Below are 27,420 nucleotides of genomic sequence, written 5' to 3'. Positions count from 1 at the left end.
ACACCATCAACCACACAAACACACACATCATGAAGTCCCACAAGGAGAGGAGACAGAGGCAAGGGAAGAAAGAATATTTGAAAAAATAACAGCCAACTCAACTTTGATGAAAACATTAATCTACACATCCTAGACGCTCAACAAACTCCAAGTAGAATAAACTCAGAGAGACCCACACCCAGACACATCATAATCAAGCTGTGAAACGTGAAAAGCGGAGAGAATTCTAAAAATAGCAAGAGAGAAGGGACTCATCTCATACAAGGAATCCTAAATAAGATTAACAGATGACTTATTAGAAGTCATGAGGCCAGAAAGCAGTAGGATGACATATTCAAAGTGCTGAAAGAAAAAGACTGCCAACCGAGAATTGTATAATAGTATAGCTATCCTTCAGGAGTGAAGGAGAAATTAATACAAATAAATAAACAAAATAAAATGATAAAATATAAATAAAATTATATAAATACCATGTATTATATATAAAACTATATATATTAAAAATTCTAAATATAAATACAATATATATGTGTGTGTGTATACATACTATATATCAATATTTTTAACAGTTTTTAAACAAAATCTGAGATAATTCATCACTAGCAGACCAGATAACTACAAGGAGGTCTACAGGCTGAAATGTAAGGACACTAGACAGCCACTCACACCAACTTGAAGAAATAAAAACATTAGTAAAGGTAACCATGGAAGTCAATACAGAAGACGGTGTGAATGTATTTTTTTAATCTTGTATGCTTAGACACAGAGTTACCATACGTGTTAAGCTGTTTTTATGGAGCTATAAATACCTGAGACCAGGTCATTTATAAGAGAAGAGGATTAAGTGGCTCACAGTTCTGCAGGCTGTACAGGAGCATAAGGGCTTCTTCCTCTGGGGAGGCCTCAGGAAACTCTTACTCATGGTGGAAGGTGAAGGGGGAGCAGGCGAGTCACGTGGTGAAAGCGGGAGCAGCGGGGTCGGGGAGGTGCCACACACGTTTAAACACCAGATCTCACAGGAACCCAGAGTGAGAGCTCACTCTTCACCACGGGGATGGCTCAAGCCATTCCTGAGGGAGTCACGCCCGTGACCTAAACACCTGCCCCCAGGCCCCACCTCCAACACGGGGGATGACAGTTCAACACGAGGCTTGGCAAGGACATGCGTTTAAACTGTATCACCATATAACCCGGGAAGTCTAGGCCCGGGCTGATACTCAGGACAACTGAAAACGGGTCCGCACAAAACTTGTGAATCAATGTTGATCACCGCGTTATTCATCATAGCCAAAAGATAAAATCAGCCCAAACGTCCGTCCGCTGATGGACAGGTTAAAAACGTGGCCCATCCCTGCAACGAAATGTGGCCCAGCCCCGAGAGGCATGAAGTGCTGACGGGTGGAGCGACACGGAGGAGCCTCAGAAACACCCACCATGCTGCTGCCCGGAAGAGGCAGGCACGGAAGGCCACGCGCTCTATGACCTCATCCATGGGAAACGCACAGAGGCGAGGCCTGCCCGGGGCTGGGAGGAGGGGGCACAGGAGCGCCGGCTGTGGGGATGGTGTTTCTCCCGCCGGGGGTGGCTGGCTCACCCTGGCACTGCACCGCAGTGGGGGTGGACCGGATGCCGCTGAACTGCCTGGACTTTCAAGAGGTAAATTCCGAGGTATGTGAATTACATTTTAATTTAAAAACATTCTGTGAGAGCCCATTTTTGTTAAAGATGCCATCTATGCTTAAAAGCCTGCACCAATGCCAGGCCGTACCACTGTGGGCCCTGGTGCCTCCACCCAGGAAGCAGTCCAGCTGCGAGCCCAGGCCAATGGGGCCAGCACGGATGGGAGGGGGCGTGGAGGGGCCCACAGATGCTGCGGCCCAGCCTGGCCTGAGAGGGGCCACCTCTGTGCTGGGGCTCCCAGGCACCCACCTCCCGTGGCAACTCCTGGCTCCGGTCCGCTCCCAGCCCTTCTGTGGCTTTGGAGGCTGAATCTGCCTGCATCTGCCATTGATTTCCAATTCCAAGGATGTTGTGTTTACAGTGTAGTGAGATGGGTTTGTGTTTCTGCAGGAGATTCTAGAAGCCAGACCTCGGAGTGGGGGAGGTGCTAGGCCTCCCTCCCACCTGGATAACCTGACCCGGAGCCTGGGGAAGCTGGCTCGGCACCCCCAGCCCTGACCTCTCCTCGTGGGCCTGGCACGGCAGGCTCTGGGCACAGCCAGGACCCCCAGGGCCTCAGTCTAGCCCCTCATTTTCCAAGGAGGCAACCGAGGCCCAGCCAGGCTTTCAAGGCTGGGCAGAGCCAGCCTGGAACTCAAGTCCCCAACAACTCCCAGTCATGGAATGTTGTACAAGAGGATTCTGGCAGCCAACCCTGACATCTTTAAAAATGTTCTTTCTGGCCCTTAACTACTGGGGCACCACAGTTCCTCGGCTGTCTGTCTTTGTGCTGGGCTGTGCCTGGCTTTGTCTGTAGCTGTCAGTCCTATTTTGTCCGCTAGGAACAAGGCCAGGGCAGCCTCTGTGATCCCCTCGAGCTGGCCAGTCTTCCCTGACCCTTCCCTCTCGGCCCCTGGCCTTGCTGTAGTCATGTCCATGGACACCTCCTGCCCACCCTGGCGGGCACCACTGTGTGGACACAGTCCTGGGAGGGGTGGGGGGCACCACTTTGGGAACGGAGGGTCTGAACTCTGCCCTGTCTTTGAGCCTTTGTTTTCCTTGTGTGCAGACGAGTGCTCCAGCCAGGTCCTCTCCAAAGTCTCGGCCCCCTGCCTGGTGCAATCTCTGCCTGACAAACCCGGCCCCCCGAAGTGCTCTCACTCCTTCAAGTCTCATTTTGTTAACAGGGGGCTGTTCTTGTGGAGGGTCCCACACCCATTGTCTTAGCTGACCCCACAGCAGGCAGGTGGGGAGGGCAGGGATCTTCTGCCCACTCTGAGGACAAGGAGACAGCCTGGAAGGGGTGGCTGGAGGGTCTGGCTCTGTCCTTTCCGCTGCGCTGGGCCAGGAGCAGGATCCCAGTTGCCCGACTACCCTGTAGTCCACACCTGGAGGATGCTGTCACTCATGAGTGCCCCGGACCTGGGGCGCTGTCCTGGCACTTAGCACCCCTTCCAGATGAGGGGGCAGCCCAAGCAGGCACCTAGCAGGTGGGAGACAGAGCTGGGCCTGGCACCAACCTGGCTTCCTTCGAGGCTTTATGGGTCCCGGGGGCATCTGGGAAAACTCTTGAGTTGGGTTTTGGTAGCAGGAACGGGTCAGGCCCCACATCCCAAGCAGAGGTCGTGGGGACTGGGAGGCAGCTCGCTGCCCTAAGAGGACGGTACTGGGGCCCCAGGCCCAGAGATGAGCCTCGTCCCACCCCACGTGATACACCCCTCCCCCTGCACGCGGCAGGCCCCTCACAGGGCTCTACTCCAGTGGCGTGTGCTGGCGGCTGGGGAGGCCCGAGAGGATGGTGGTTCCATGGAAATGGGAGAGTGGACACTGTCCAGGGCGCCGGTCCCAGCCCCAGGGCCAGCGAGGTCAAGGTCTCCTTGCTGGGCCTTCCTTCCACTAGGGGTGACCACAGGAGGTGGTGTGAATGCCCGCAGGGGCTGTTCTGATCAAGTCCACTCAGCCTCTCCCTGTCTGCGTGTCAAGGGCACGCCAGCAGGCAGGGCACTCCCTGCACCGCCGCACAAACCGGCATCTTCTTCGTCCTGACTTGAGTGGCCTCCAGCCCCCTCCCAAGCCCCTCACCCAACTCCCTCCCCAGCTCCCTCCCTAACCCCTCCCCAGATCCCTCCCCAGCCCATCCCCAGCTCCCCCCACAGCTCCCACCCCAGCTCCCTCCACAGCTCCCTCCCTAGCTCCATCCCCAACCCCTCCCCAGCCCCCTCCCTAACCCCTCCCCCACCCCTCCGCAACACTTCCCCAGATCCTTGCCCCACCCTTCCCCAACCCCCTCCCCAGCCCCCCTCCCTGACCCCTCCCCAGCACTCTCCCCAGACCCTCCCCAGGTCTTCCCCAAGCCCCTCTCCAGCCCCTCCCCAGCTCCCTTCTCAGCCCCTGGGTGTCAAGGCTGTATCGCGGCCTCTTGCAAGGACAGACCAGCTGGCCGCGGTGCTGGCTCTTGGACTTTCTGGAGCAGCTCCCTGGAGGCCTAAGGGGGCAGGGGCAGGGGCAGGGGCAGGGGCTGACACAGTCGTTCAGCCTCCGTGCCCAGCCCACTCACAGGAGAGTTAGCAGGGCAGACGCCAGACCCCAGGCGGGGACTGACTATGGGCTCGGGACAACAGTACCTCGAGGGGCAGCAGCCTCCAGGTGAGCAGGGCTGACTCAGTAGCTGCACGGGACGTTGGGCCTCCAGCCTGGCCGCATTCACACCTGGCCATCCTGGCAAGCTCAGGGCTGAGACCAAGTTCTGGGGGTGCAGAGCCGCGCCTCCAGGCCTGTTGCCCCAGCTCAGCATCTCGGGATCCACTGCCCCAGCATGGGTGCCCTGCAGGGGGCCAGACCTCCCGGGACCTCCACGCGGGGACATGGGCTGCCGGACCCACCCCCTGCTGCCACGGCTGGATCCAGGGCCGCCTTCCTCTGCAGACACTCGTGGGCAGGGGGTGGGAGCACGAGCCTAGGGAATGCAGGACACCCCGACTGCAGTTCTGGTTCAGCCGCAAACCGGCTGCGTCCTGGCCCCTCGTGGCCACGTGGGTGCGTGCCATGCTCTCAGGCGTGTGGGGCTCCCATGTCCACGGCTCCTGCCCGGATGCCCCTCCACGTCTGTGTACGTCCCTGCTGCTACCAGGCCCCGGGCTGAGCGAGCGCGACCAAGGCCCAGCCTCAGAGCCCACGCTGCCTCTCGGCCTCTCCTGCCCCACAGGCCCTGGCCCAAGCTGGTGTCCATGCTCCTCGCTCAGAGCTCTGCCAGCCCGTCCTCCCTGGCTTCCTGCCACTCTCTGTGCGTGAGTCACTGGGCAGGAGCCACCACGCCAAGAAAGGAAGCCGATAGGGTGGAAAGCGTCCTCAGTGTGTGTGGTCAGGGGCACTGGCCTGGCCACCTACTGCTGTGCCCCCAGGACGAGTGACGGGGGGCTTCTTCTCAGGGTGCACTTGGAGTCACAGACACCCCGGGGCAGAAGAGCCATGAGTACTTGCGGGGTCCAGGCTTCGGCTCGCGCAGCTTAGGCTGAGGCGGTGCGGAAATCTGCAGGGTCTGGTTTTGGATCCGATTTACGTCTCTGCTCTGTCGCCAAAGTTTTGCCTTTTCCGGAATGTTACAGAAATGAGGTCTCACAGGATGCGGCCTGTCTGGCTTCCTTCACTTAGAAAAGCGCGTTTAGGACTCGCCTGTGCTGTGAAGTGCCAGCGCGTGCCTTTTGCCCCCAAGATTCTGCGGTATGGGGGGTCCGCAGCTGTTTTATCCCCTCGCCGGTGATGGGCACCTGAGTTCTCTCCAGCGCGTAGGGGGTTACACACCAGCATCTCTCCACATTCACTCCCGGGTTTTGTGTGAATACAGGTTTTCGGTTCATTCGGGTGCACGCCCAGGACAGGTTTCTGTTGAGCCCTGGCTCCTCTGACTGGAGGGTCCGCCCGGACAAAGGGGTGGTCACGCTGGAAGTGCTGAGTGTGGGCGAGGAAGCGCAGCAGCCTCAGCGGCAGTTTCCAGAATGCTCTTCCTTGGCGGGCAGAGGCAGCTTGCTGGGAACCCGAGGCTCTGCAGGTTTTGCGAGTTTGGTAAGAAGGCATCACACGTGAGACGCACAGGTGCCTGCAATCACTCGTCCTCTACGGCAGCAGCCAGCAACTCCCTGACCACGGAGGTGGGGATGGGTGGGGCCAGGCCACGTAACAAGCGGCCCTCAGGACTTGTGGCCTTCCCATCCATGCTCCACGCCCAGCATGGGTGCCTGGAGGTGTTGTCCTCACTGTGTTAATGCCCATGACACAGGAACTTGGGGGAGAGATGCCAGCATGGCGCCCAGGGTGGAGTCCCTGTGGGGCAGCCTGCGTGGGGCGCCGCTGTGACCCAGGAATGGACTGAGAGCCCACCAGGGGAGGACGGTGAGCACCGTCCCTCTTGGGTTTCCTGTGGAATTGGGGGTGGGGGTCTGGCCAGTGAAATCTCCAGCGCCAGGGTGCCCATCTGACACCCGGCTGCCCATGTGCAGTGTTTGCCAGTTACTGTGGTGTAAATATTCCTGCCTGGCTGATCTCAAAGCAAAGCGCTGAGCTAAGCTCCACACAGTGACTCGGACAGCACCGCACAGCGGCCCCAGCACCTGCGCAGCACGGACTCCCTAAGGACTCTGGGCAGAGGGAGTTTTAGGGGTGCAACAACAGCTGTGAGGTCCCCGGGGCATCCTCCCGGCCACCTGCCACCAACACAGCCCAGCCTCTCCATCCTGGAGGCCCCTGCCCCGGGTCCTGCAGAGCCACGTGATGTTTGTCTGATGCCCTCTGTTTTCCAGCTCTGCTCTGAGGCCTGACCGTCCCTGGCCGCCAAGTGTCTGCTGACTGAGAGCTCCAGCTCCGGAGAGGTGCCCAGTACCTGGTGAGCAGAGGGACCTGAAGGAGCAGGTGCCTCTTCCTCAGACATCTGCAGTCACTTCACAGTGAATGAGGCTCCAGCCGGGTGCCCTGAGAAGTGGCCAACACCCTACCCAAGAGGAGACCGCACAGCCACGGCCAACGTGGAGCTCTAACTCAGGGCTCCAGCCTCCAGCCCAGTCCTTTTCCTTGAGTAGGGACGACCCCCACAGCGGCCTCTCTGCATTGCTTAGGTGGGGAGCACATGTGGTGAAGATGGGCAGCCTGCAGGTGCCTGCTACACGTGGGGGCCACGGCCGACGGAAAGCTCAGTCATGAGTGAAAACAGAGGAAATGTTTCTGAAAATATAACAAGTCAGTGGGAAATCAATTTATCAAAAGCAATTTAAAGCAGCCTTGCAGGAACACAGGTCCACACTGGCAAGGCCATCGCTCACCTGTGGGCTGTGTCTGTCCATCCACTCAACAGATCCATGAGCCTCTGCCCGGCGCCATGCCCAGCCCAGGGGCGCCATGCCCAGCCCAGGGGCGCCAGCCCCCCGAGCTCATGGCCGGGGTGGGGCTCCTGACAGATTCCTGTGGGCAGTGAGGGCCGAGGTGCTGAGGTGCCAGGCAGCCTGGCAGCGACCACAGTTCTGCTTGACCCTGCAGGGGGGACGTTTGCGCAGAGCCGCCGTACTGCCCGGTCGGGGGTCCGGGCACTGGTCACGCCCAGGACTGGCCCCACGGCCAAGATGGTGCCGCACAGCCTGGCCTTTTGTCAGGTTCCCGGGATCCACACAGATGCGAGCCCCAACCCTGCACAGAGCCCCAGAGCCCTGGAACCCTGGCTGGCAGGGACAGACAAGAGTGAAGGGTTCCTATTCCCCTTTTCTGAGAACGGAAGGGCCCCCTGGGCCGCTGTCTGGTGAGCCGCTGCTCTGCACAGGGCTTGTCTCGGGCGAGAGGTAGGCAGAACTGGCCTGGGAAGCAGCTCTGGCCATGCCTCCCCAACCGTCTTCAGGGAGCCAGGCCCGTGTTACCAGCCCTGTTCTCCCCGGAGAGGCAGGGTGGCACACAGTGCCTTCCCCAAGAGGCTCCTAGCACGAAGCACAGAAGCTGCTCCCCCTGCGAAGCTCCCAGCCCAAGGTGAGGGGACAGGGCACCATCCCGCCAGGCTCCCTGCCAAGGTGAGGGGACAGGGCACCATCCCGCCAGGCTCCCTGCCAAGGTGAGGGGACAGGGCACCATCCTGCCAGGCTCCCTGCCAAACCTTCTGGAGGGTGGGTCAAGGACTGTGGCATGGGCAGAGGCTCCAAGGACATGTCCAGGTTCCTGTTTCAGATGAGGGAAACTGAGGCCAGGGGGGTCCCCAAACCACTCCCTGCAGGGTCAGAGGTTGAGCTCAGCCCGGCTGAGCCCCACTCCTCGTGCACCTGTCTCTCCCCGTCCCAGGGAGGCTGGAAGGTGTCTGATGGGGCCCAGGCCAGGGGACCCCTCCCACCCTCAGAAGATGGGGACTGGGGCGCAGGAGGTCCAGAGGGGGCAGGCCAGACTCTGGCTACTGTCCCTGCTGCCAGCCCGCGGCCCGGTGCGGGGACAGCTCCACACAGCAGGGATGGCGAGGGCGTGCAGGAGGAGGCCAGGCTGTCTCCACTGCCACCACCACTGCCCAAGGGACGCCTCTACGGCACAGCACTCGTGGCCCTGGGTGGGGTGGAGGGAGAGCCAGGCCAGCGAGGCTTCAGAGTCCACACGGCGCTGGCGTCTGAACCAGCAGGGCTGTGGGACCTGAGCAGCCACGTGGCATCGTCTGCCACAGGCCCGGGCCTCCCCCGGCACCCCTGGCCACTGTGGAGGCTGCAGTCCGGTGCCACCTCCCAGGGGGCAACTTCAGCCTGTGCTCCTCCTCCTGGCCGTGAGATGGGCCCAGGGCCTGCCCCGCACAGCTGTGTGTGCTGCCTCAGACCGAGCCCACCACTGAGGGAGATGCAGGGGCCCACACACAGCTGCTACCACTCGGCCCCGTCGGCTGTTCCCCTGCAGGGCTCGTGTGAGCGACCCCCATCGCCGGGGGAGGAGGAAGCAGCCCGGGGCCCAGCTCCCAGAGCTGCAGGGGCATCAGGACAGTGGCTCCCTCCCGCCTGCTGTGGAGGTGGCCTTGAGGCCTCAGCCTGGCCCCCGCCCTGCCACCCTGCGCAGCCCAGCAGCAGAAACAGGACTCAGGGCCCCATCTCAGAGGGCAGGAACAGAGCTGGCATTGGGCCGAGCACCCCCGTTCCCAGCTGCTCAGGGCTGAGCAAATCACAGCTCTGAGCAACTCTGACCCTTGGCACCCACCCTCCTCCCGGAGCACCACAGTTCCCGGGGCACTCACCCTCCTCCTGGAGCACCACAGTTCCCGGGGTACCCACCTTCCTCCCCGGGGTACCCACCTTCCTCCCCAGCGTGCCCACCTTCCTCCACGGGGACCCGCTTTCCTCCAGGGATACCCAGGTGCCTTCCTCTCAGGGCACCCACCTTCTTCCCAGGCACCTACTTTTCTCCTGGGGCACCCACCTTCCTCTGGGGGCACCCGCCTTCCTCCAGGGGCACCCACTATCCTCCCAGGATACCCATCTTCCATGGCACCCATCCCATCTTCCTCCCATGGCACCCACCCCATCTTCCTCCCAGCGGCATGAGGCTCCCAGGGAGCTGTGTCTGCGAGGGCAGCATGTCTAGCCTGTGTCCAGTCCTGGGCAGGGAGTCTCACGACAGCCTCCAGATGCACCTGCACCTGCCCAGCCAGGGTGGCCTTGACCAGGCCGTGCAAACACCAGGGCCTGGCCTCTCCCACATGGGGTCATCTGCTCACCCAGGGAGGGCTGGAGGCTCACCCCACAGCCCCTTCCTCCTGCCACAGGGAACAGGGGACCAGGGCATCCTCCAGAGCAGTCCCCAGGGTGCAGATGGCCCCAGAGCCCCCAGACCAGCCCCAGCCCCGGGCTCCTGGACCATGGCTGGAAGGGATCCTCCCGCTCAGGGCTGGAGATGCCTGGCCTGGCACCAGCTACTCCGCCTTCTCCAAGGCACTTTAAAAAACACCCAGCAGCAGCACCTCATCCTCAGGGCACCCGCAAAGCTGAAGATGCAGACAAACAATACAGGGTGAGACTCCTGGAGGCGACAGGGCTGAGCTCGTGCCCTGTGAGCTCTTTCCCAGGTTACAGAGCTGAAAGGAGCCCAGGGACCTGGAGGAGGCTGTGTCAACTGCCGTCTGGTGGCTGGAGGTTGAGAGGCCAGCAGCCGCCAGCCTGCCCACGGGCACTCAGACCCACGGCCAGCGGCTTCTGGAGCAGGCCAGGTGGAGGCAGTGAAGCCCCCTCTTGGGGTCTGTTTCTTGCTTCCACCCAGAGCCACTCTGGGATCTTTTTGATGTGCCCTTGGATGCCCTTGTTCAGTGAGGGGGGCAGGCAGGGGCAGGCGGAACAGACCTCACCACTGAGCGGCCCCCAGAGGTCCTCCCCAGCCTCCCGAGGACCTCAGAGGGGGGCCCTTTCTCTCCCCTGCATCTTGGCCAACGGGTCCTGCACTGGAGCTGGGGCCTTGGTCAGACTCTAGGGGCCTGAAAGTCTCCTCCTTCCCCACTGAGGCTGGGAAAGGAGGCAGGTGGGCCTGGAGGCTCAGGCGGGGCTGCTGCTGGGCACCTCACTGGCTCTGCACCTACCTGCCCATGGTGCCAGCTGCCTTGCCGCTGCGTCCCCAGGTCACACATACTGGGAACCCCATGTGGCCGCCCCCGCAAGTTTTGCAGAACCCGTCCCGAGCCCCCGCGTGTCTTTCCCAACATGGGTCCCCTGTGGGGGGTGGGTGGGACCCTGTCTTTCCCAACATGGGTCCCCTGTAGGGGGTGGGCTGGGACCCTGTCTTTGGCTCCCGTTCCACACCTTGCCCTAGCCGGCAAGGGCTGCAGACCCGGCCGACAGGCCAAGCTTGCCAGAATCACTGGTCCCATGCAAAGCCAACACCCAACTCCAATGGGCGGCAAAGCGCCGCAGGCACAGAGCCTCCTTTCATCTCTGCAGCAGGCTGAGTTTAAAAAGCAGATTTTCTACACAATGTCGTACGCGAGTCTCAGCAGAGCTCAGGCCACGACCTCCAGCTGCCTGCAAGCCTGCATCTTCCTCTGGGAGGCTTCCCCCCTCACCCTGCATCAGGGCCCGGGCTTGAGGGGTGATGGAGGCAGGTTCCCCTGCAGCCGGCGGTTCTGGGAGCAGGTGCCCGAGGCGGAGGCCATGGCCTCTGAGCAGGTGGCAGCTTCGCCCCCACCAGAGCCTGCAGCCCTCACAGCATCCCACATTGCCCCAGCCTCTGCCTGGGCCAGGCCCTCAAGCTGCTGGCTGGGGTGCCCAGACTGTGGAGGCAGTGGTTGAAGGCCAATGGCTCCTGGTGTCATTAAAGACTCTGTTTTTACCTCCTCTGGGCCTCGGGAGACCAGCCTGGCACCAGAGGAGGGGCTGGCAGAGCCCCAGGCTCCAGTCCACACCCACCGGCCCCAGGTCTGGCCATGGGCTGGGCCCTGGTGTGCAGACAGCAGTGGCCACTGCTCCAGGGCCTTTGCACCAGCCTGCTGCAGGTCCAGGCGGTCATGGGGAGTGGAGCCGCAGCGGCCTCTTGTTTTCCTTCCCCTCTTGGGAGACGGCTGCTCCTCCTGGCTGTTTCCAGAAAGTGTGTTTGTTATTTGGCTCCTGGAAACACCATCTGATGAAACAGGCTCTGTTGGGCTGGCCTGCCAGGCGGAGGCTGTGGGCGCCCAGGAGTCTCACCACGAAGCAGGTGGCAGAGGCCCGATAGCCCCACCCTGCAGGCCGGGACCTGGCACCTAAACGGGGAGATGGAAGAACATGGAAAATTCCCTAAGAGCAAATTGATGCTCAGCTTCCGCGGGCACCAACTTGCTGCGGAATCCTGCTTTGCAGATCATCGTTCCTCGAGCATTCGGACGCCTCGGGCCCCAGAAGTTCAAGAACAAGAAAGCTCTGTTTCATGCAGACACGCTCACGCATGCACACATGCTCACACATGCACTTATACGTGCACACACACACACACAACACACACACACGCACACTCACACAACCATGGCCATGTAGCCCCAGTCTCAGCATCATGTCCTCTATTTAGAAATATTGGCTAAACACCTAATAAATAACTAAACAGAAATGTAATCTTTAATAAAGTCTCATAAACCAAAAGCCAGCTGGCAGTTCCATTTGGAACATCCATGAACACAGCTGCATTTATAGGAAAACTTCTCCGTCAGCGATGCTCCCATGTGTGACAGCCGCCCCCAGATGTCCTTCCTTCCCCTCCACACCCCCTCACAGCCCAGGGCCCTGGGGACACCGGTGCCGAAGGGCTGGATCTGATGGACAGGCCAAACCCGGGCCACGGGCCACAGTACTGAGCAGGCGGGGCCCTCAGGGAGGGACGGGGCTCCCTGGGCCAGCCCTCTGCCAGCCGACCAAGACTCACCCTCGATGGTGCCCTCGACCTGTCCTCCCTCAGCAGCCTGTGGCATCCAGACCAGTTCGTGGCCCCTAGGAGGGGAAACTGAGTCCCAGCCCCAGGGTCCTCCCTCGGCTTCACTGGGTGCCCCATGGAGGAGACAGCCAGGGTGTGTCACCTGACAGGCTCACCAGAACCAGCACAGGTAGGAGGACGGGGCAGGTGGGGACAGGACAGGGTTGGACTCCAAAGGGAGGCCGGCAGCACTGTGTCCCGGGGATGCTGACAGTGGCCCAGGAGGGGTCAGATCTCCTCCCCAGCCAGCAGCAGGGCCGTATGCTGGGAACAGGACCTCGTGGTGAGCAGGTGGGAAGGAGGTGGGTGGAGATGGTGGGTAGGGCTGCCTGGAAGACTCCCCAGGGATGGCCATGTGTGTTGGGAGCACTGCTGGAAGGATGGTGTGGCCAGGAGGAAGTCCCAGGGACAGGGGTGAGGAGGCTGGGCCAAGAGCCTGGGTGTGAAGAAGTCACCCTCAGCAGGCTGGGCCCATGGGCCCGGGGGGTGCTCAGGGAGGGTGAAGGGAGATGGGGAGGAGGCTCAGGCCTGCCAGGAGCCGGGTCCTGGTGGGCAGCAGAGGGTACGGTGCCTGGCAGCGCTGAACGGGAGTGGGCGGGAGGACGTGGAGCCAGGCCAGCCTCAGTTCGGGGGTCCTGGGGCCTGTGTCCAGAGGCGAGGCCCACACAGCGGCGGGACTGGTCCTGCAGGCGCGTGGCCACAGTGGGCAGGAGTGGGGGCTTTGGGGCCCTGGCTGCCCAAAGCTTGATGCTAGCCTAGGGCCAACCAGACCCCACATTCAGGGCATACCCCACAGCGTATCAGACATCTATAGCCGTGTAGCAAATACCCCAAAACGTAGCAGCTTAAAAATGCCTCCACGTGTTAGCTCCCCCGTTTCAGGGGCAGCATGGCTGGTGGCTGTGGCTCAGGTGGCAGCCACGGGCAGCCCCTTGTCCAGGACGGGGCTCACGGGGCTGTGGGGAGGCCTCAGCCCCTGACCATGTGGCACCCCCAGGCTGCCAAGTCTCCTCCAGGTGCCAGAAGCCACAGTCTAACCCCCTAGGCCTGGAAGTGGCCTCCCTTGTGCTGTGCCCGCCATGGGCTGTGGTCACATGGGTCACCCTAAGGCCACGCGGGCAGGGCTGCACCAAAAACATCAACACGGGGTCAGGGCGTCCGAGCCACCACAATGCCAGCTCCTGCAGTGCTGGCCACGTGCCTGGCAAGGAACCCTGCACACAGACCCTGCTCTGCCCACCCCCCAGGGGTCACGAGGCACACAGACCCTGCTCTGCCCACCCCCCAGGGGTCACGAGGCACACAGACCCTGCTCTGCTCCCCCCACGGGTCACGAGGCCCTCGTCCTGCTGGGCTAGAGGCGGTGGCCTCTGCCCTCCTCATAGTGGCTACTGGGAGACCATGAGGTGGTGGCAGCAGTTGCCTGTGCGGAGGTGTGCTCAGTGCTCAGGCAGGGAAACGTGCACACACACACTCTCACACACACACACACACTCATGCATACATGAGGAGGGGCTTTTGGGGGAAGAGGAGCCCAGGGAACATGACTCCTGGCACCTTCCATGGCGGGACCAGGGGTCGGGGGTGCAGCAGGAACTCTGGCCTTGAACCCAGTGGCTCCGCCTCATCTAGGGCTGCTCTCACCAGCTGTGCGGCCTGGGTGACTCCATGGCTCTGGGTCATGGGCCGTGCTTGGTGCCTGGGGGGCCCGGCCTTCTGTGCCTCAGTCTCCCCCACCCCCTGCACAGCAGGCTAAGGGCGCCTGATCCGTGGGACTCAGGGAGCTGAGTGGGAAGATTTTTGGAAAGAACTGCCAGGGCCGGCATCAGTGAGGGCACGAGCTTCTGGCCGCCTCTGCCCTTCCCATTCCCAGCTGCCCTGCAGGTGCCCGCTGTGGCCTGGAGACGCGGCTGTGGACGCCATCTGCTTGCGCTCTCTCCCTTTTTTAGCCCGAGGCTGAGCGGTCCCTCCGGACTGGGGTGCGTGGCGCCTGGCTCTTGACTGGCAATGGAGACGCTCCCCAAAGCTCCTGGAATGTTACTGACCGCCGGGCTGGGATGGCGCTCACATTCTTCTAGGTGTGGATAGTGGAAACCAAACCAAAATATTAGCACAAGGCTAAGTTTGTTTTACAGCCTCCTGTAATATATGAGGTGCTTGTTTGGATTTTATCTAAACAACTTTCCCTGCACACCCAGCAGCTGCTGAGTTTTGGCTCCCGGACCCTGGAGCCCCTGCTGCCGAGGCTGGGGATGGCGGCTCCAGAGGTCATTCCTCCCCCGGAAGACACACGCTGGCCTTGGGCCAGGGGACCCTCAGCGACGGGGTCACCCCAATGTTCTGGAGGCTGCGGTTCTGCTTCCTCCTGGGGCTGAGCTGAGCAAGCTCTAGCTCTCGGGCCGAGCGCAAGGAGGGCAGGAGTGATGTCTCCAACTGTGCTGAGGTCTGCCCTGGGTGCAAGGGCCCTGTGTTTTCAGCGCTGCCGTGTGGCCCATGGATGCCCCAGGCCCCTGGACAGTTGATGCCTGGGGTCCACACTCCTGGACAGGGCTCTGGACAGTTGATGCCTGGGGTCCACACTCCTGGACAGGCCCCCGGACAGTTGATTCCTGGGGTCCACACTCCTGGACAGGGCTCTGGTCAGTTGATGCCTGGGGTCCACACTCCTGGACAGGGCTCTGGTCAGTTGATGCCTGGGGTCCACACTCCTGGACAGGCCCCTGGACAGTTGATGCCTGGGGTCCACACTCCTGGACAGGGCTGAGGAGGTGGTGTCCCCAGACTTGCCCCAGCACAGCTGTGGGGGGCACCCGGACACCCGCCCCGGCCTCAGTCTCCCATCCCAGCTGGCCCTGACACGGGTGCATGTGATGCCCTCCTGGTCTTGGCCTCTCAGACCCAGCTCAGCCACGGCCATCCAGACCCTTGGGCTCCGGTGTCTTCCCAAAGCTCTGAGAAGCACCCCCTTGGGGCAGCCAGACCCCTGACCACCCTCCGAACCTCGGCTGGACTCCCTGTGGCCCAGTCCGGAAGGGTTCTCCTCGGAACAGAGGGCAGATGAGGCAAGAGTCGGTCCGAGTTCTGCCCTCTGGCACCGGCAGTGCTGTGGAAGGCCCATGGGGCGGCTCAGTGGTCCCCAGGGACCTCAGCCTTCGGGAAAGTGCAGCAGAGACCTCAAGGCCCCCCACGCTCAGCTAACGTTGCCCTCGCTCATCCAGAGCACAGCCCGAGCTGCAGGAGGGCCAGGAGGGCAGATGCTCCACAGCTCGGACAGCATCCATAAGACCCGCGTGGAGAAAATAGCAAAGGCCAGTGTGGAACGGAGAGGACGTGAACGGCGAGTGCTCGGAGAACAAGCACGCCAGCAGCGAACCCAGGGGGACCAGCCCGACAGCCAGTGCGCTGAGACACCGGCCAACGGCAACGCCCCATCCTCACCGCGAACGCCACTGTGACGCGCTGACAGTGGATGCGAATGCGTGACACAGACAGCGAGTGCCAGTGTGACCGTCACGGCTGATGCTGAGCACTGCACCGACACACCACAGAATCTGCAGGCCCAGGGCTCAGCTCCTGCTTGCGGGGCGCAGGCCGGCCCCACCGTCCGACGTACAGACCAGCATGGGCACCTTAGGCCTCTCCACCCTCCTCTGCCCAGAGCCTGCCACCATCCGTGTTACACAAGAGCCAGGTGCTGCACAGAGAGGCCACGTGCCTTGCCCCAGGCTGCCAGCTCCAGAGAATGGTCCGGGGACGCCATGGTCATCCGGCCCCAGGACTGCTCCTGACCCTCCTGGGACGGATCCTCCGGGCAGAGAGGGGACGCCGTGGTCATCCGGCCCCAGGGCTGCTCCTGACCCTCCTGGGACGGATCCTCCGGGCAGAGAGGGAATGAATCACATTCCGGATGGTGGCTTCAGGTCAGAAAGCTGTCAGGTCACCCAGGTGCCATGCGAGCTGCTCCCCGGAGACGGCTTTCGGCCTTGGGTTTATCACAGCGGCTGTTTTCCGTCTGCCAAGCCAAGCCTGGCTTTCATCTCCCCTCGCACAACGGTCTGCTTCCTCAGCCTCTGGGCTTATAGTGGTTTTCTTTTCTACTGTCTGAAATTGAATGTTTAGTTCATCTATTTTCTATTCTCTCATTTATAATAAAAACATTTCAGATGAGAAGTTTTCCTCCCAGTGTGTTTCTGGCCACCTTCTGGAAGCTGCCCCGCGCTGTCTGCCACGGCGGCATCAGCTCCTCTCTGACCTCACAGCGGCTCTGGAGGGCATCGGGTGAGTGTCCAAGCACCTCTCACCTCAGTGAGACACAGGGCTTGTTTCCAGCCTTCCTGTGTGCCTGGGGGGTGCCTCACGTGTGCACATTGCAGCTGCAGTGGCACTGTTCCCAGGGGGCTGACCTCAGCTGCATGCTCACCCGCCAGAGTGTGGAATCCCACAAACAGGGTTTCATCAAACAGTGACAAGGAGACAGGAGCAGGCCCCATGGTAGGATGGGAGGGGACTGTCTAGTGAGAAACTCAAGGGAACAACCTTGTCAGAGGCCCACAAACCCAGAGAACACAGGGATGGGGCTCATCCTGGAATGTCAGGAGCAGGACAGTGGCCCGAGCATCAGGACATAAGAGGGCCAGACCAGTGCTGGGACCCCTGGGAGTAGCAGGTAGTAGTGGGCAGCAGCGGCCTCAAAGAACCCCAGGACCCCCACCCAGGGGGAAGTTCCAGGTGGGGACAAGGACAGACAGGACACCTGGTCCTGAGAAGCGACACAGAAGCCTTGCTGTCAGACAGGCCTCCCTCAGGCCTGGGCTGCCTGGCTCTGAGCCCCCAGCAAGGTTTGCAGCTGTGGGGAGGGGAGAAGTTAGGGGTCCTGACCTCTATGCGCACCAGGCCGGGGAGCAGCAGGGCAGGCAGGGTGGGGTCCCGCTTTGGGGGACCACCTGCCAAGGGCAGGGCAGGGGCAGGGAGGTGGCCGGCAAGCACGTCCCCGTCCCTACTGGCTGCAACTTCAGTGACACTGCTGAAAACCTGCAACCCCAAGGCGTCAGAGACACGACTCCTGAGCTGCAGGGCAGGCCTCTGTTCAGCCAGGGCCGGATACCAGCCAGGAGGAACCCTCTGCTGCCCCAGAATATGAAATTGGAACAGAAGGTTACGGGCCAGTTCACTCATGGGCAGAGGACAACTCCAAAACGAGGCCCCAGCAGGCAAAATACAGCCCGGCCCAGGAATTCCCGTCCGTGAGCTCGGGACTTCAGAAACTCAGGCTGTGCAGCACGCAGGAGGAAAACACCTTTCACCTGCCAGCAGGACAAACAATAGAAAAACACAATTTTCTCAAAGGGCACCGAGAGGAAAGTCAATAAAATCTCCTGACAAAAGTGTTCCACAATTAGGAATGATGGGCTTCATCCCTACTCTGATAGACTGCGTGCATAAAAGCAAATGCCTACATGCTGGTTGAGAATGCTTGGGTTTGCCTCTGAAACCATGCACACGCACACGCACACACACGCACGCACACGCATGCACACGCACACATGCACGCCTGCCCGCACACACGCACACACATGCACACATGCACACAAAGGCGCCCACATGCACACATGTGCACACACACACATGCACACACAGGCGTGCACACACACGCACACACATGCATGCACACATGCCCCCTAGCTCCGCCCCAGAGAGCACGGGCGAGACTGCGGGTGTGCCTTGACTTTCTAGGTGCAATTGTGCTTTTCAGCAGGCTTTCCCCTGAGGACTTTGGGAAACCCTGGGGCTTCCTTCCTTGGGTTGCGGGAAGGACGAGGCCGCTTGGGTGCCCCCTCGGCAGGGGTCAGTGCCGCGTGCCCATCCTCTGCAGCTGCAGCACCTCCCCTGGCTGTGGAGCACTCACGTTGTCGTGACAGGAGGTCTCCTTTGGGGAATCGGGTGAACGGGGACCTTGCAAGCCGGCTGGGAAGCCCGTGTGGACCAAGAGCACTGGCCCTGGCTCGGCCGCTCTCCACGCCCCGGGGGGGGCCACCTGAGGAGCCCACACAGCCACAGGCCAGTTGTTCTTCCAAGGACGGGGGCTCTGGATGGGGCCGATTTCATTGCACGGCCTCCACGGCAGCATGTGGCCCCTAAACATCTTTGTGCAGCTTCTACGACTCTGCCCTGGTCCCAGCCCACGGGCTCCGGCCTGTCTGGGTGAAGCGCCTGCAGCGGCTCCGGCCTGGCCCACACCTCCCTGGCCAAGTCGGCTGTGAATAAGCCCTCCCCATCCCAGGGACCGCAGGAAGGGGTGGTGAGGAGTGGGAGGGAATTGGGGGGCTCTGCCGAGCTTCCCCTCCAGGAAGGGCCGCAGGACTCAGGCACGCAGATCCCAAAAGGTGTCTGACTTCCGGCCTTGGAAAAGAGGGCCAGGAGGGATGCACAGGGCCACGGGAGGGAGGGGCAGGGACAGGGCCACCCACGGAGCAGCTGGGAAGGCTCCTCGGAGGAGGCAGCCTTGGAGTATGCTGGGAGGAGACTGCGATGGGGGACGTGGCAGAGATGAGTCTGCAGGCAACACTGCTGGGGGCCTGGGGGTGAGCAGAGGCCTTGGTTCCAGTTGTGGTGGAATGGGACCTTCAGGGAGAAGGCGGGTGGAGCAGTGCCCGGCGGGAAGCCCACCCCAGCCTGGCTCTCGGAGCTGGGCCTGCCTGGCTGCACTGGCCTCTCCTGCAGCCGAGGCCGCAGGTCCTTGGAGCACACAGGAACCCCAGGGCCGAGAGGCTGGTCCCAGGCCTGTCCGTCTGGCAATGAGAACCACCTGCTGCTCTGTAAGCAGCCTGTGCTTCTGGGTCCCACCTGCCTCGTCTAAACCTGGACACCAGCCCACCCCCGAAGCTTGAGTGGGGAGTATGGGGCCCCCCACCCTAGCAGCCAGTGGTCAGCACGGCCACCGCCCCGGCCCCCAGCATCACCCCCAGGCAGGGCCTTGTCTGAGTGGACCCAAGTGCCACGGGGCTCAGCTGTCCTCTGGCCTGAGTCCTCGGCCACTTCTCACTGAGCCCGGGGGAGCCAGGATGCTTCTGGGAAGGAGGAACGTGACCAGCATGGCACCCCGGAGCCTGGGGTCCACGGGCTGGGTCCTAGGGATCCCAGGGCCCTGCGCCATCCTGAGCAGAGGTGGCTGCTGCCTCGTGTCTGCAGACCTGGAGCCCCAACCCTCCCCATGCACCAGGCCACAGAGGTTGGCTGACACTGACCAGCAGCAGTGCCCGTTGGAAAGGATTTTGGGTTTTCGAGACACCCATGCATAGATGCCTCCTGGTGGCACTTTCAGCAGGGCCCTGAGGGTCAGTCCAGCTGGGCTTGGCCATGTGCCCACTGCCCAGGGCGGGGAGGCCCAGGCTGGTTGGCAGCTGAAGGGTCCAGTGGAAACAGGCGGGGAGCAGCAGCCGCCAAAGGATGGGGTCTGGGGCCAAGGCAGCGCGTCCATTACAGGGGCACAGAAGCCCCAGAACAGAGCTGCCGGGAGGGTCTCAGGGGTCCACTCCAGCTCCCCTAGCTTACAGAGGAGGGTCAACTGAGGCCCACAGAGGGAGCATGACCTCCCCAAAGCCTCAGCCACCAGGTCTGAGGCCAAGCCAATAGCAAACCACCCACTGGGCCTCATGTTGCGGGCAGAGACCTCACCCTGGGTCCTGCTCTCCAGCGGGCAGCGATCATGGCATGTGGTCAGCGGACACAGGAACCCGGGACCGCAGGCCGCAGAGCTGCCGATGGGAACAGAGAGGCCCTGGGGCTCCCTCCCAGCTCTGTGGAGGGCTCCCCAGAGTCCAGGCCTTCCTGAGGCTTCGATGGTGCCGGGTTCTGTCCCCAGAGGCCAGAGATGTCCTGTTGGCATGGGTTTTGGCCACCCCTGCCCGGGCTGGCCTGGGCCCCTGGCTGAGCTGCCCACTCTCTCCCAGAGGTGGTGCAGGCATCTCCTGGGGGCATACTGGGGTGCAGGTAAGCGGCTGTCTTCTAACAGACAGCAGGTGTGCCTGTGTTTCTGCAGCAAACAGGGCACCGTCCCTGCTCCTTGGGACAGGCACCCTCTCCCCCTAGAGCACTCCAGCAGCACCAGACCACAAGGGCCTGACAGAGGATCAGCCCTGGCACGCCGTTCACCCCCCACCCGCTCTGGACTTTCTCTCTGGAAAATGCAAGCTCCCGCCTGCAGGGCTGGGAGCGTCTGTGACATGGGGCCCCTGCCCGAGCCCAGTCACCCCAGAGGATTTGCAAGCTGCTTTCCTGTCCCTGCCCATGGCCTGGGCAACAGGGGACAGATACCTTCCCTGGAGGGCAGGGAGCTTCCTGCCAGCTTCCCTGCTGCCTCCATGCTCAGTACCTGTAAGCAAAAGCACCAGCTTTGTGGGGCCCACAGCCTCATCTCGGGGACTGGGATGCAGACGTGACAGCTGGGGCTCTGGCAGCTGTTTGGCATGAGAACGAGGGAAGGGTGGTGGCCCCGGGCTACCAATGGCATCGTAGAGGCTGGGACTGCCTGTGCCCAGACTTCTCACTTTGAGACGGAAAGGCCCACCGCATTTTAAACACAAGCCACCAGGACTCGGGTCTTCTCTTACAAGCAGCCTGCCATGAGACTGGGAGGCCGGCAGGCCCCGCTCATTCCCGGGCCCGGCGAGCCCGTCCCCGCCTGTTCCACATGGGCCTGAGTTCTGCCTGCCCCTGCGCCCCACCTGCCAGAGCTCATCCCAAAGCAGCAAAGTCGGGAGTGGGGATCCTGGTCCCCGAGCACCTCCTGGCCGGAAGCTGCCTGCTACCCGCCCAGCCTCACCTCCACCCTCCTCAGTCCCCACTGGGGCTGTCTCTCCAGGGCCCAGGGCTGACCACCCTCCAATCAGAACTCTCCCGCCTCCCACAGGCACCCCTTTCCCTCCCGGGAGACTTCAGGGCCGGCCCAAGGGTACAGGGGACAGGACTTCCTGTGGCCATCCTATGCCCCCGTGGCTGAGCTCCGAGGGGGCGGGCTGGAGCAGGGATCACGGCTGTCGCACAAATGAGACAGAGCTTGTGGGCCCTGCCAGGGACAGGGTTCAGGCAGCGGGAGCCAGGCCCTGTGTGGGTGGGGGCAGTTTCGCCGGGGGTGGAGGGGCCGTGGGGCAAAGGCCAGGTCCAGTCAAACCCCAGGCCACCCAGGAGCCATGCAGAGTTCCAGAGGGGAGAGACAGAAGGCTGCCCCCATCCCACAGGAGCCGCACAGACACAGGCCCGGCCGTGTTCTCCAATTAAACATCAGGGTTAATTAGTCTTCCGGGCCCAGGGGAGGGGGCCGAGGTGGAGTAATCACGGCTGTGCCAGGAAATCCAGAGCTAAGGCCGGGGGAAGAGGGGAGTGTGCTACCCACTGGGAAGGCGGGGAGGCCAGGACTCTGCCACCCATGAAGGGCGCCCCGGCCATGCCAGCTCCAGGCTGGAGCACACAGGTCACACTCGGCTCAGCGGGGCCCTCACGCCGCCCGTCCTTACGACTGCGTGTGGTCACCGCCACCATCGGGGCCGGTGGGGGATGCCAGAGCCCGAGAGGCCATAGGCCCAGCATGGGGGCTTCTCCTGAGACAGCAGGGTGGGCGCCAGTGTTGGGGGTGTGTGGGGGGCTGTGTGGGGGGGATGTATGGAGGGGTGTGTGGGGTGTGTGGGACTGTGGGGTGTGTGGGAGGGTGTGTGTGTGCAGTGTGTGTGCGATGTGTGAGTGGAGGGGTGCAAGTGTGGGGGGTGTGTATTGGGGTGTATGGAGGGGTGTGAGTGTGGGGGGCATGTGTCGGATGTATGTGTGGGGGTGTTTGGGGGTGTATGTGGCGTGTGTGTGGGTGTGTGTGGGCGTGTGTGTGGGGGGGTGTATGGGGGTGTATGGGGGTGTATGGGGGTGTGTGGGTGTGGGGTGTGTGGGTGTGGGGTGTGTGGGGTGTGTGGGTGTGTGGGGTGTGTGTGGGGGGTGTGTGTGTGTAGGGTGTGTGTAGGGGTGTATGTGGGGTGTGAGTGTGTGGGGTGTGGGGAGGGGTGTGTATGTGAGGGGATGTGAGTGTGGGGTGTGTGGAGCGGGGTGTGAGAGTATGTGAATCCCACCCCTGAACTTGGAGTTCGGGAGGGAGAGGCTCAAATGGAAAATAGATTCTGTCTCGGACCCTGTGGAGGGGCGGCCCCTGCCTCCGGCCCCGTGACGCCTGGGGGCCGCTCCTCCCGGGACACTGGAGTGTGCACCGCGGTCCCCCTCACACAGACCTGAGCACAGCAGGAGGCTCAGCAAGTAACACGGGGCCTGGGGTGGACGCTGACCTTGAACATGGAGGCGAGAGTCAGAAGCTCCGTGCTCCTGAATCTCAGCGCCATCACCTGGCTGGCTGGGGAGGGAGGCTCTCTCCTCTTGGGCCTCAGTTTCCCCACTCAGGGCTCCAGGGCCTTCTGTCCTATGTGGCTCCGGCCACCAGGAGATGAGGCCTCTGCTCCACAGTACTTGCAGGGACTCTCAGGCCCCAGGCGCCTCTGCATGTGTGTCACCGGGAAGAAGTATTTAGAATCAGAAAACATGTCATCACCGGTTTTCTCTGAGAAATACCCCACCAAAAATTTTAAAATGAAAACTTCCTCATCTTCAGGGAAGGCTGAAACAAGCCAGGGAAGAGGCCTGTCATTATCACTCTGACCCACATTATTTTAACATCTTTGGAAAAAACACTTTAATTGGGTCTGTTTGACTTTAAAAGAAGGGAGCTTTCCATGAGGGTCTCAGCGCCAGGAGCCAGGGCCCAGCACAGACGCCCCAAGACGGCAACTTCAAAGGGGAAGGAGGCAAGACCAGCATCCTGCCTCCCCGCCCGCCGGCAGCCACCCCGGCATCCTGGAAGCGCTCACTGATAGCAGTGTCCCTGGAAAACCCTGGTCACGGCGGCAGCTGAGAACCCACCAGGCTGGAGGGGCCGCCGGGGGCTGCAGGCAGACAAGGCCTGGGCGGCAGCCAGCACCCACCAGCGTCTCAGAGCAACGACAGTGGCTGCCGTCACCGGCGTTATCGCCACATAGGGAACATTCCAGAATCAACACGCCCGGTGTTTGTACAACACTTGGCTTCCAAGCAGCACAGAACCCTGACTCACCAGCCTGGGGGTCGCGGCTGTGCCTTGCCCCTGCCCGATGCGGCCCGTCACCGCCCTCCCTCCCCACACAAGACGAAGGTCACAGACCCGATGTAACCTTCAGGGACAAACTCAGGCTGGTGCAAGGCCGCTGTGGGGCCTGGACAAGCCAGGTGCAGGCCTCATCAAGACAAAGCCCTCGCGTGGGGCACTCTCAGAGCCCAGCGATCCAGGCAGCGGAGCAAGGGACCCGAATGCAAGCCAGCCCTCAGGGCCAGCACAGGGTCCCGCCGCCTCCCACGGCAATGCTGCACGGAACACACCCCTTGCCGGGAGCTGACGCACTCACACGTCTGGGGTGATCTGGGTGGACCCCACCACGCTTGCCCACAGGGGAAGGTAGAACGGGCAGGCTGAGACGGACAGCTCAGGGAGAGGTCCATCGGGACGCTGGAGTCAGCTCTGTGTGCAGGGCCCCGTCCAGGCCCCCGCTGTCCCCGTGAACACCACACGCAGGCTCTGTGTGCAGGGCCCGTCCAGGCCCCGCTGTCCCCCTGAACACCACACCAGGCTCTGTGTGCAGGGCCCCGTCAAGGCCCCGCTGTCCCTCTTAACACCACACGCAGGCTCTGTGTGCAGGGGCCCGTCCAGGCCCCGCTGTCCCCTCTGAACACCACACGCAGGCTCTGTGTGCAGGGCCCCGTCCAGGCCCCGCTGTCCCCCCTGAACACCACACGCAGGCTCTGTGTGCAGGGCCCCGTCCAGGCCCCGCTGTCCCCCTCTGAACACCACACGCAGGCTCTGTGTGCAGGGCCCCGTCCAGGCCCCGCTGTCCCCCGTGAACACCACACGCAGGCTCTGTGTGCAGGGCCCCGTCCAGGCCCCGCTGTCCCCCTCTGAACACCACACGCAGGCTCTGTGTGCAGGGCCCCGTCCAGGCCCCGCTGTCCCCCGTGAACACCACACGCAGGCTCTGTGTGCAGGGCCCGTCCAGGCCCCGCTGTCCCCCCTGAACACCACACGCAGGCTCTGTGTGCAGGGCCCCGTCCAGGCCCCGCTGTCCCCCCTGAACACCACACGCAGGCTCTGTGTGCAGGGCCCCGTCCGGGCCCCGCTGTCCCCCCTGAACACCACACGCAGGCTCTGTGTGCAGGGCCCCGTCCAGGCCCCGCTGTCCCCTCTGAACACCACACGCAGGCTCTGTGTGCAGGGCCCCGTCCGGGCCCCGCTGTCCCCCGTGAACACCACACGCAGGCTCTGTGTGCAGGGCCCGTCCAGGCCCCGCTGTCCCCTCTGAACACCACACGCAGGCTCTGTGTGCAGGGCCCCGTCCGGGCCCCGCTGTCCCCCGTGAACACCACACGCAGGCTCTGTGTGCAGGGCCCATCCAGGCCCCGCTGTCTCCTGCCTCTCATTCACTCATCTGTGCACAGTCCCGGTGCTGCTCACACAGCACGCACAGGGCAAAGACCCTGCTCTCAGGAGCTTTCCTTCCGGTGAGGAAATAAGAAAGGAAAACCGGGGCCCAAAGTGTCCAGGAGCATCGTGGCCAGGCCAGGAAGGTGCTGGACAAAGGCAGGGGCCGGGTGCTTCTGTTTGCACTGGGAGATCAGACCCTGAGAAGGGGCCAGAGGTCCGGGTGGGCAAGGGGAGCCGGCGTGGACGACCCCACGGGCCCTGGAACAGCTTCCACTTTCCTTCCCTAATCCTCACATCCCAGCCTCAGCCCATTCGTGGCCATCAGCAGCCCCCTATGGCTGCCCAGGCCCCAACTCCTGGCCATGAGGCCCACACCACCTCCGCAGCCCCCACCACGCCCATGGTGCTCAGCTCCAGCTGCAGGCCCCCTCCCACCTGCGGCAGGGGCGTCTAAAACCCTGGTGCCCAAGACCACCCCCTAGACTGGAGATTTCCCAAAACTCACGTCCCCCAGAACCTCAGAGCCGGACCATATTTGGAACCAGTCAAGATGAGGCCACACTGGAGCAGGGAGGGCCCTAACCCAACATGGCCGGTGTCCTTATGGGGCGTCACAGACACAGCGACGCGAGTGACGTGGCCACAAGCCAGGAAACCAAGGGCTGCCGGCATCTGTGGCACCAGGAGGAAGCGTCTGGAATCAGAAACACAAGTAATCACCAGCAGCCGGACAGGCAAAGAAGGACCCTGCCCTGCAGCCTGAGGGAGGCGGCTCTCGACACCCCAAGTGCAGACCACCGGCCTCCGGGACACAGACAATGCACTGCTGCCTGACGCCCCCACTGTGTGCGTTTGTCACGGCAGCTCCAGGAGCCAGCGAGGCTGGCCAGGGTGTGCGGGGCCTGCCCCGGAGCAGTGGGAACGGTCCCTGCTTGCTTGAGGACCAGGACGGCAGTTGGTGACGGACACACAGCTCCTGGGAACAGGGATTGCTGACTCAGTGAGGGGCCTGAGAAGAAGGGGAGGGCCGGGGGCTTTCTTGGGGAAAGGCGGATCCAATAGCTGCTGGGTGTGGGCCTTACAGAAGCCTGGTAGGTGCTGAGAGGTGGTTTCCTCAGCCCCCCTTGGAGTGGCCACACTAAGTGCAGCCTGAGGACAGCCAGGGACAAAGGAGATCCCGGGCGCCTGGAAGGAGAACCTGGGCCTGCCCGGGGCTGAGGGAGACCCCCCAGGGCCTGTGGCCATCCCAGCCAGGAGCCCTTCACTCTGGGCCAGGCATTTGCTATTCCTTTGGCCAACACCCCACACCCCCTGCAACCAGACACTGCCCTTCCTGCGGGACTGGCAGGGTGGGGGGCTCCTCCCACTGCCTCTCCTGTCTCCCATTGTGCCCCACAGTCCCCCATATGCCAACACTGGGCCTGGGGCTGAGGCACCCGGGACGTGCCCAGCCCAGGTCTGCGGGCCTTGAGCCTGGCATCCACGGTCCCAGCCCAGAGCTTCTCAGAGTCCTGCAGGCCAGCGCCAGGCACCTCCAGGCCCCAGGAAGCTTTGATCTGCTGTGTTAACCCTTTAACTCGGAAAAATGCACCGAGGGCCCCAGGGTCTAAAAGGCATGAAAGCCGAGTCAACTGTAGAACTTGTTTAAATCGATTACCGAGGGATTCATGTTCCTGCTCCTGAAGCTCCTACAGTCATCCTCTCTGATCTGCTGATTCAGGGGCTCTACCCCAGGTGTCTGTCCAGAGAATGCACACACCCCATCCTCCGCCTGGAGCCTCCCTCTCAATGGTGGCCAGGAGCGCTCAGCTGACAGCCACGGATAACCCCACACTTGGACGCCCTTCTGTCACAAGATGACCCTGCCCCAGCTGCGGCCTTAGCTGAGGGTTGGGCTCTGCACCTGCAAAGAATGCTGGGGTGGCACCCCCGCAAATACTATCAAGGGCTACTTTCCTGGGACAATCTGCATCCATCTCAGCCGATGGGACACCTGCTGCCACTCCTGCCCGGCCAAGTACCTGTCGCTGTCCTTCCACGGCACCCTCCGCCCTTCCGCGGCACCCTCCTCCCTTCCGCGGCATCCTCCTCCCTTCCGCGGCACCCTCCTCCACACGACTCTCAGGCACCGCCGGGGGCTGCTTACCCAGGGAGGAGTTAGAGGCCCCTGAGCCCGCAAGGATCCCTAGAAGAGGGGCTGCGAGCCACAACCAGACAAGAGTCATTTCAAAACCAGGAAGCAAAAAACATTTTTACGTTTTTATTTTTTAGAGAGAGGATCACCCTGTCACCCAGGTGGGAGTGCTGTGGCGCAATCTTGGCTCACTATAGCCACGGCCTCCTAGGCTCAAGCAATCCTCCCACCTCAGCCTCCCCAGTAGCTGACTACAGGCACGCACCACCACACCCGGCTAATTTTTCTATTTTTTTGTCAAGATGGGGTCTCACTATGTTGGCTGGTCTTGAACTCCTGGCCTCAAGTGATACGACTGCCTTGGCCTCCCCAAGTGCTGGGACTACAGGTGTGCGCCACTGCGCCCGGCCAGGTTTTTCACAAGAAACCCAGACGGTGGGATTGGGATGCTGGAGGAAGTGGAAGCCGCCCCTGCCGCCTCCCCACCGCGCTGTGCTCTGTGCATCCCGGACGCTGTTCCCAACACGCGCCCCACATCCGCCCCACACGCGCCCCACACCCGCCCCACACCCGCCCCACACGCGCCCCTCACGCGCTCCACACCCGCCCCACACGCGCCCCACACCCGCCCCACACGCGCCCCACACACGTTCCACACACGTTCCACACGTGC

General features: G+C 62.3%; 3 long non-coding RNA genes across 3 annotated transcripts, besides 4 other annotated features; all 3 read left to right on the top strand.

Moving 5' to 3' along the window:
- Window positions 1–1,384: 1,384 nt before the first annotated feature.
- Window positions 1,385–6,904, top strand: PICSAR (P38 inhibited cutaneous squamous cell carcinoma associated lincRNA). The gene is made up of 2 exons (NR_024089.2): window positions 1,385–1,668; window positions 6,456–6,904. It is a non-coding gene; the product is annotated as a P38 inhibited cutaneous squamous cell carcinoma associated lincRNA (long non-coding RNA).
- Window positions 2,763–3,304: an enhancer, noted in NCBI's record as "H3K4me1 hESC enhancer chr21:46422723-46423264 (GRCh37/hg19 assembly coordinates)". NCBI's record gives its function as "activates a minimal SCP1, AML or CMV promoter by ChIP-STARR-seq in naive H9 embryonic stem cells {active_cell/tissue: H9 hESC(naive)}" and the evidence as "EXISTENCE:reporter gene assay evidence [ECO:0000049][PMID:30033119]".
- A 4,005-nt stretch (window positions 6,905–10,909) lies between the features above and the next one.
- On the top strand, window positions 10,910–11,750 carry LINC00165 (long intergenic non-protein coding RNA 165). The gene has a single exon (NR_170266.1). It is a non-coding gene; the product is annotated as a long intergenic non-protein coding RNA 165 (long non-coding RNA).
- Window positions 11,751–12,025: 275 nt separating this feature from the next.
- LINC00163 (long intergenic non-protein coding RNA 163) lies at window positions 12,026–16,248 on the top strand. The gene is made up of 2 exons (NR_033840.1): window positions 12,026–12,208; window positions 14,277–16,248. It is a non-coding gene; the product is annotated as a long intergenic non-protein coding RNA 163 (long non-coding RNA).
- Window positions 18,124–19,078: an enhancer, noted in NCBI's record as "H3K27ac-H3K4me1 hESC enhancer chr21:46406949-46407903 (GRCh37/hg19 assembly coordinates)". NCBI's record gives its function as "activates a minimal SCP1, AML or CMV promoter by ChIP-STARR-seq in naive and primed H9 embryonic stem cells {active_cell/tissue: H9 hESC(naive and primed)}" and the evidence as "EXISTENCE:reporter gene assay evidence [ECO:0000049][PMID:30033119]".
- Window positions 25,336–26,232: an enhancer, noted in NCBI's record as "H3K4me1 hESC enhancer chr21:46399795-46400691 (GRCh37/hg19 assembly coordinates)". NCBI's record gives its function as "activates a minimal SCP1, AML or CMV promoter by ChIP-STARR-seq in naive H9 embryonic stem cells {active_cell/tissue: H9 hESC(naive)}" and the evidence as "EXISTENCE:reporter gene assay evidence [ECO:0000049][PMID:30033119]".
- Window positions 26,233–27,131: an enhancer, noted in NCBI's record as "H3K4me1 hESC enhancer chr21:46398896-46399794 (GRCh37/hg19 assembly coordinates)". NCBI's record gives its function as "activates a minimal SCP1, AML or CMV promoter by ChIP-STARR-seq in naive H9 embryonic stem cells {active_cell/tissue: H9 hESC(naive)}" and the evidence as "EXISTENCE:reporter gene assay evidence [ECO:0000049][PMID:30033119]".

This window comes from Homo sapiens, chromosome 21 (genome assembly GCF_000001405.40).
Source record: "Homo sapiens chromosome 21, GRCh38.p14 Primary Assembly".
NCBI lineage: Eukaryota > Metazoa > Chordata > Mammalia > Primates > Hominidae > Homo > Homo sapiens.
The sequence above is the reverse complement of the archived record's forward strand: the minus strand, read 5'-3'. Positions and strand labels throughout refer to the sequence as shown.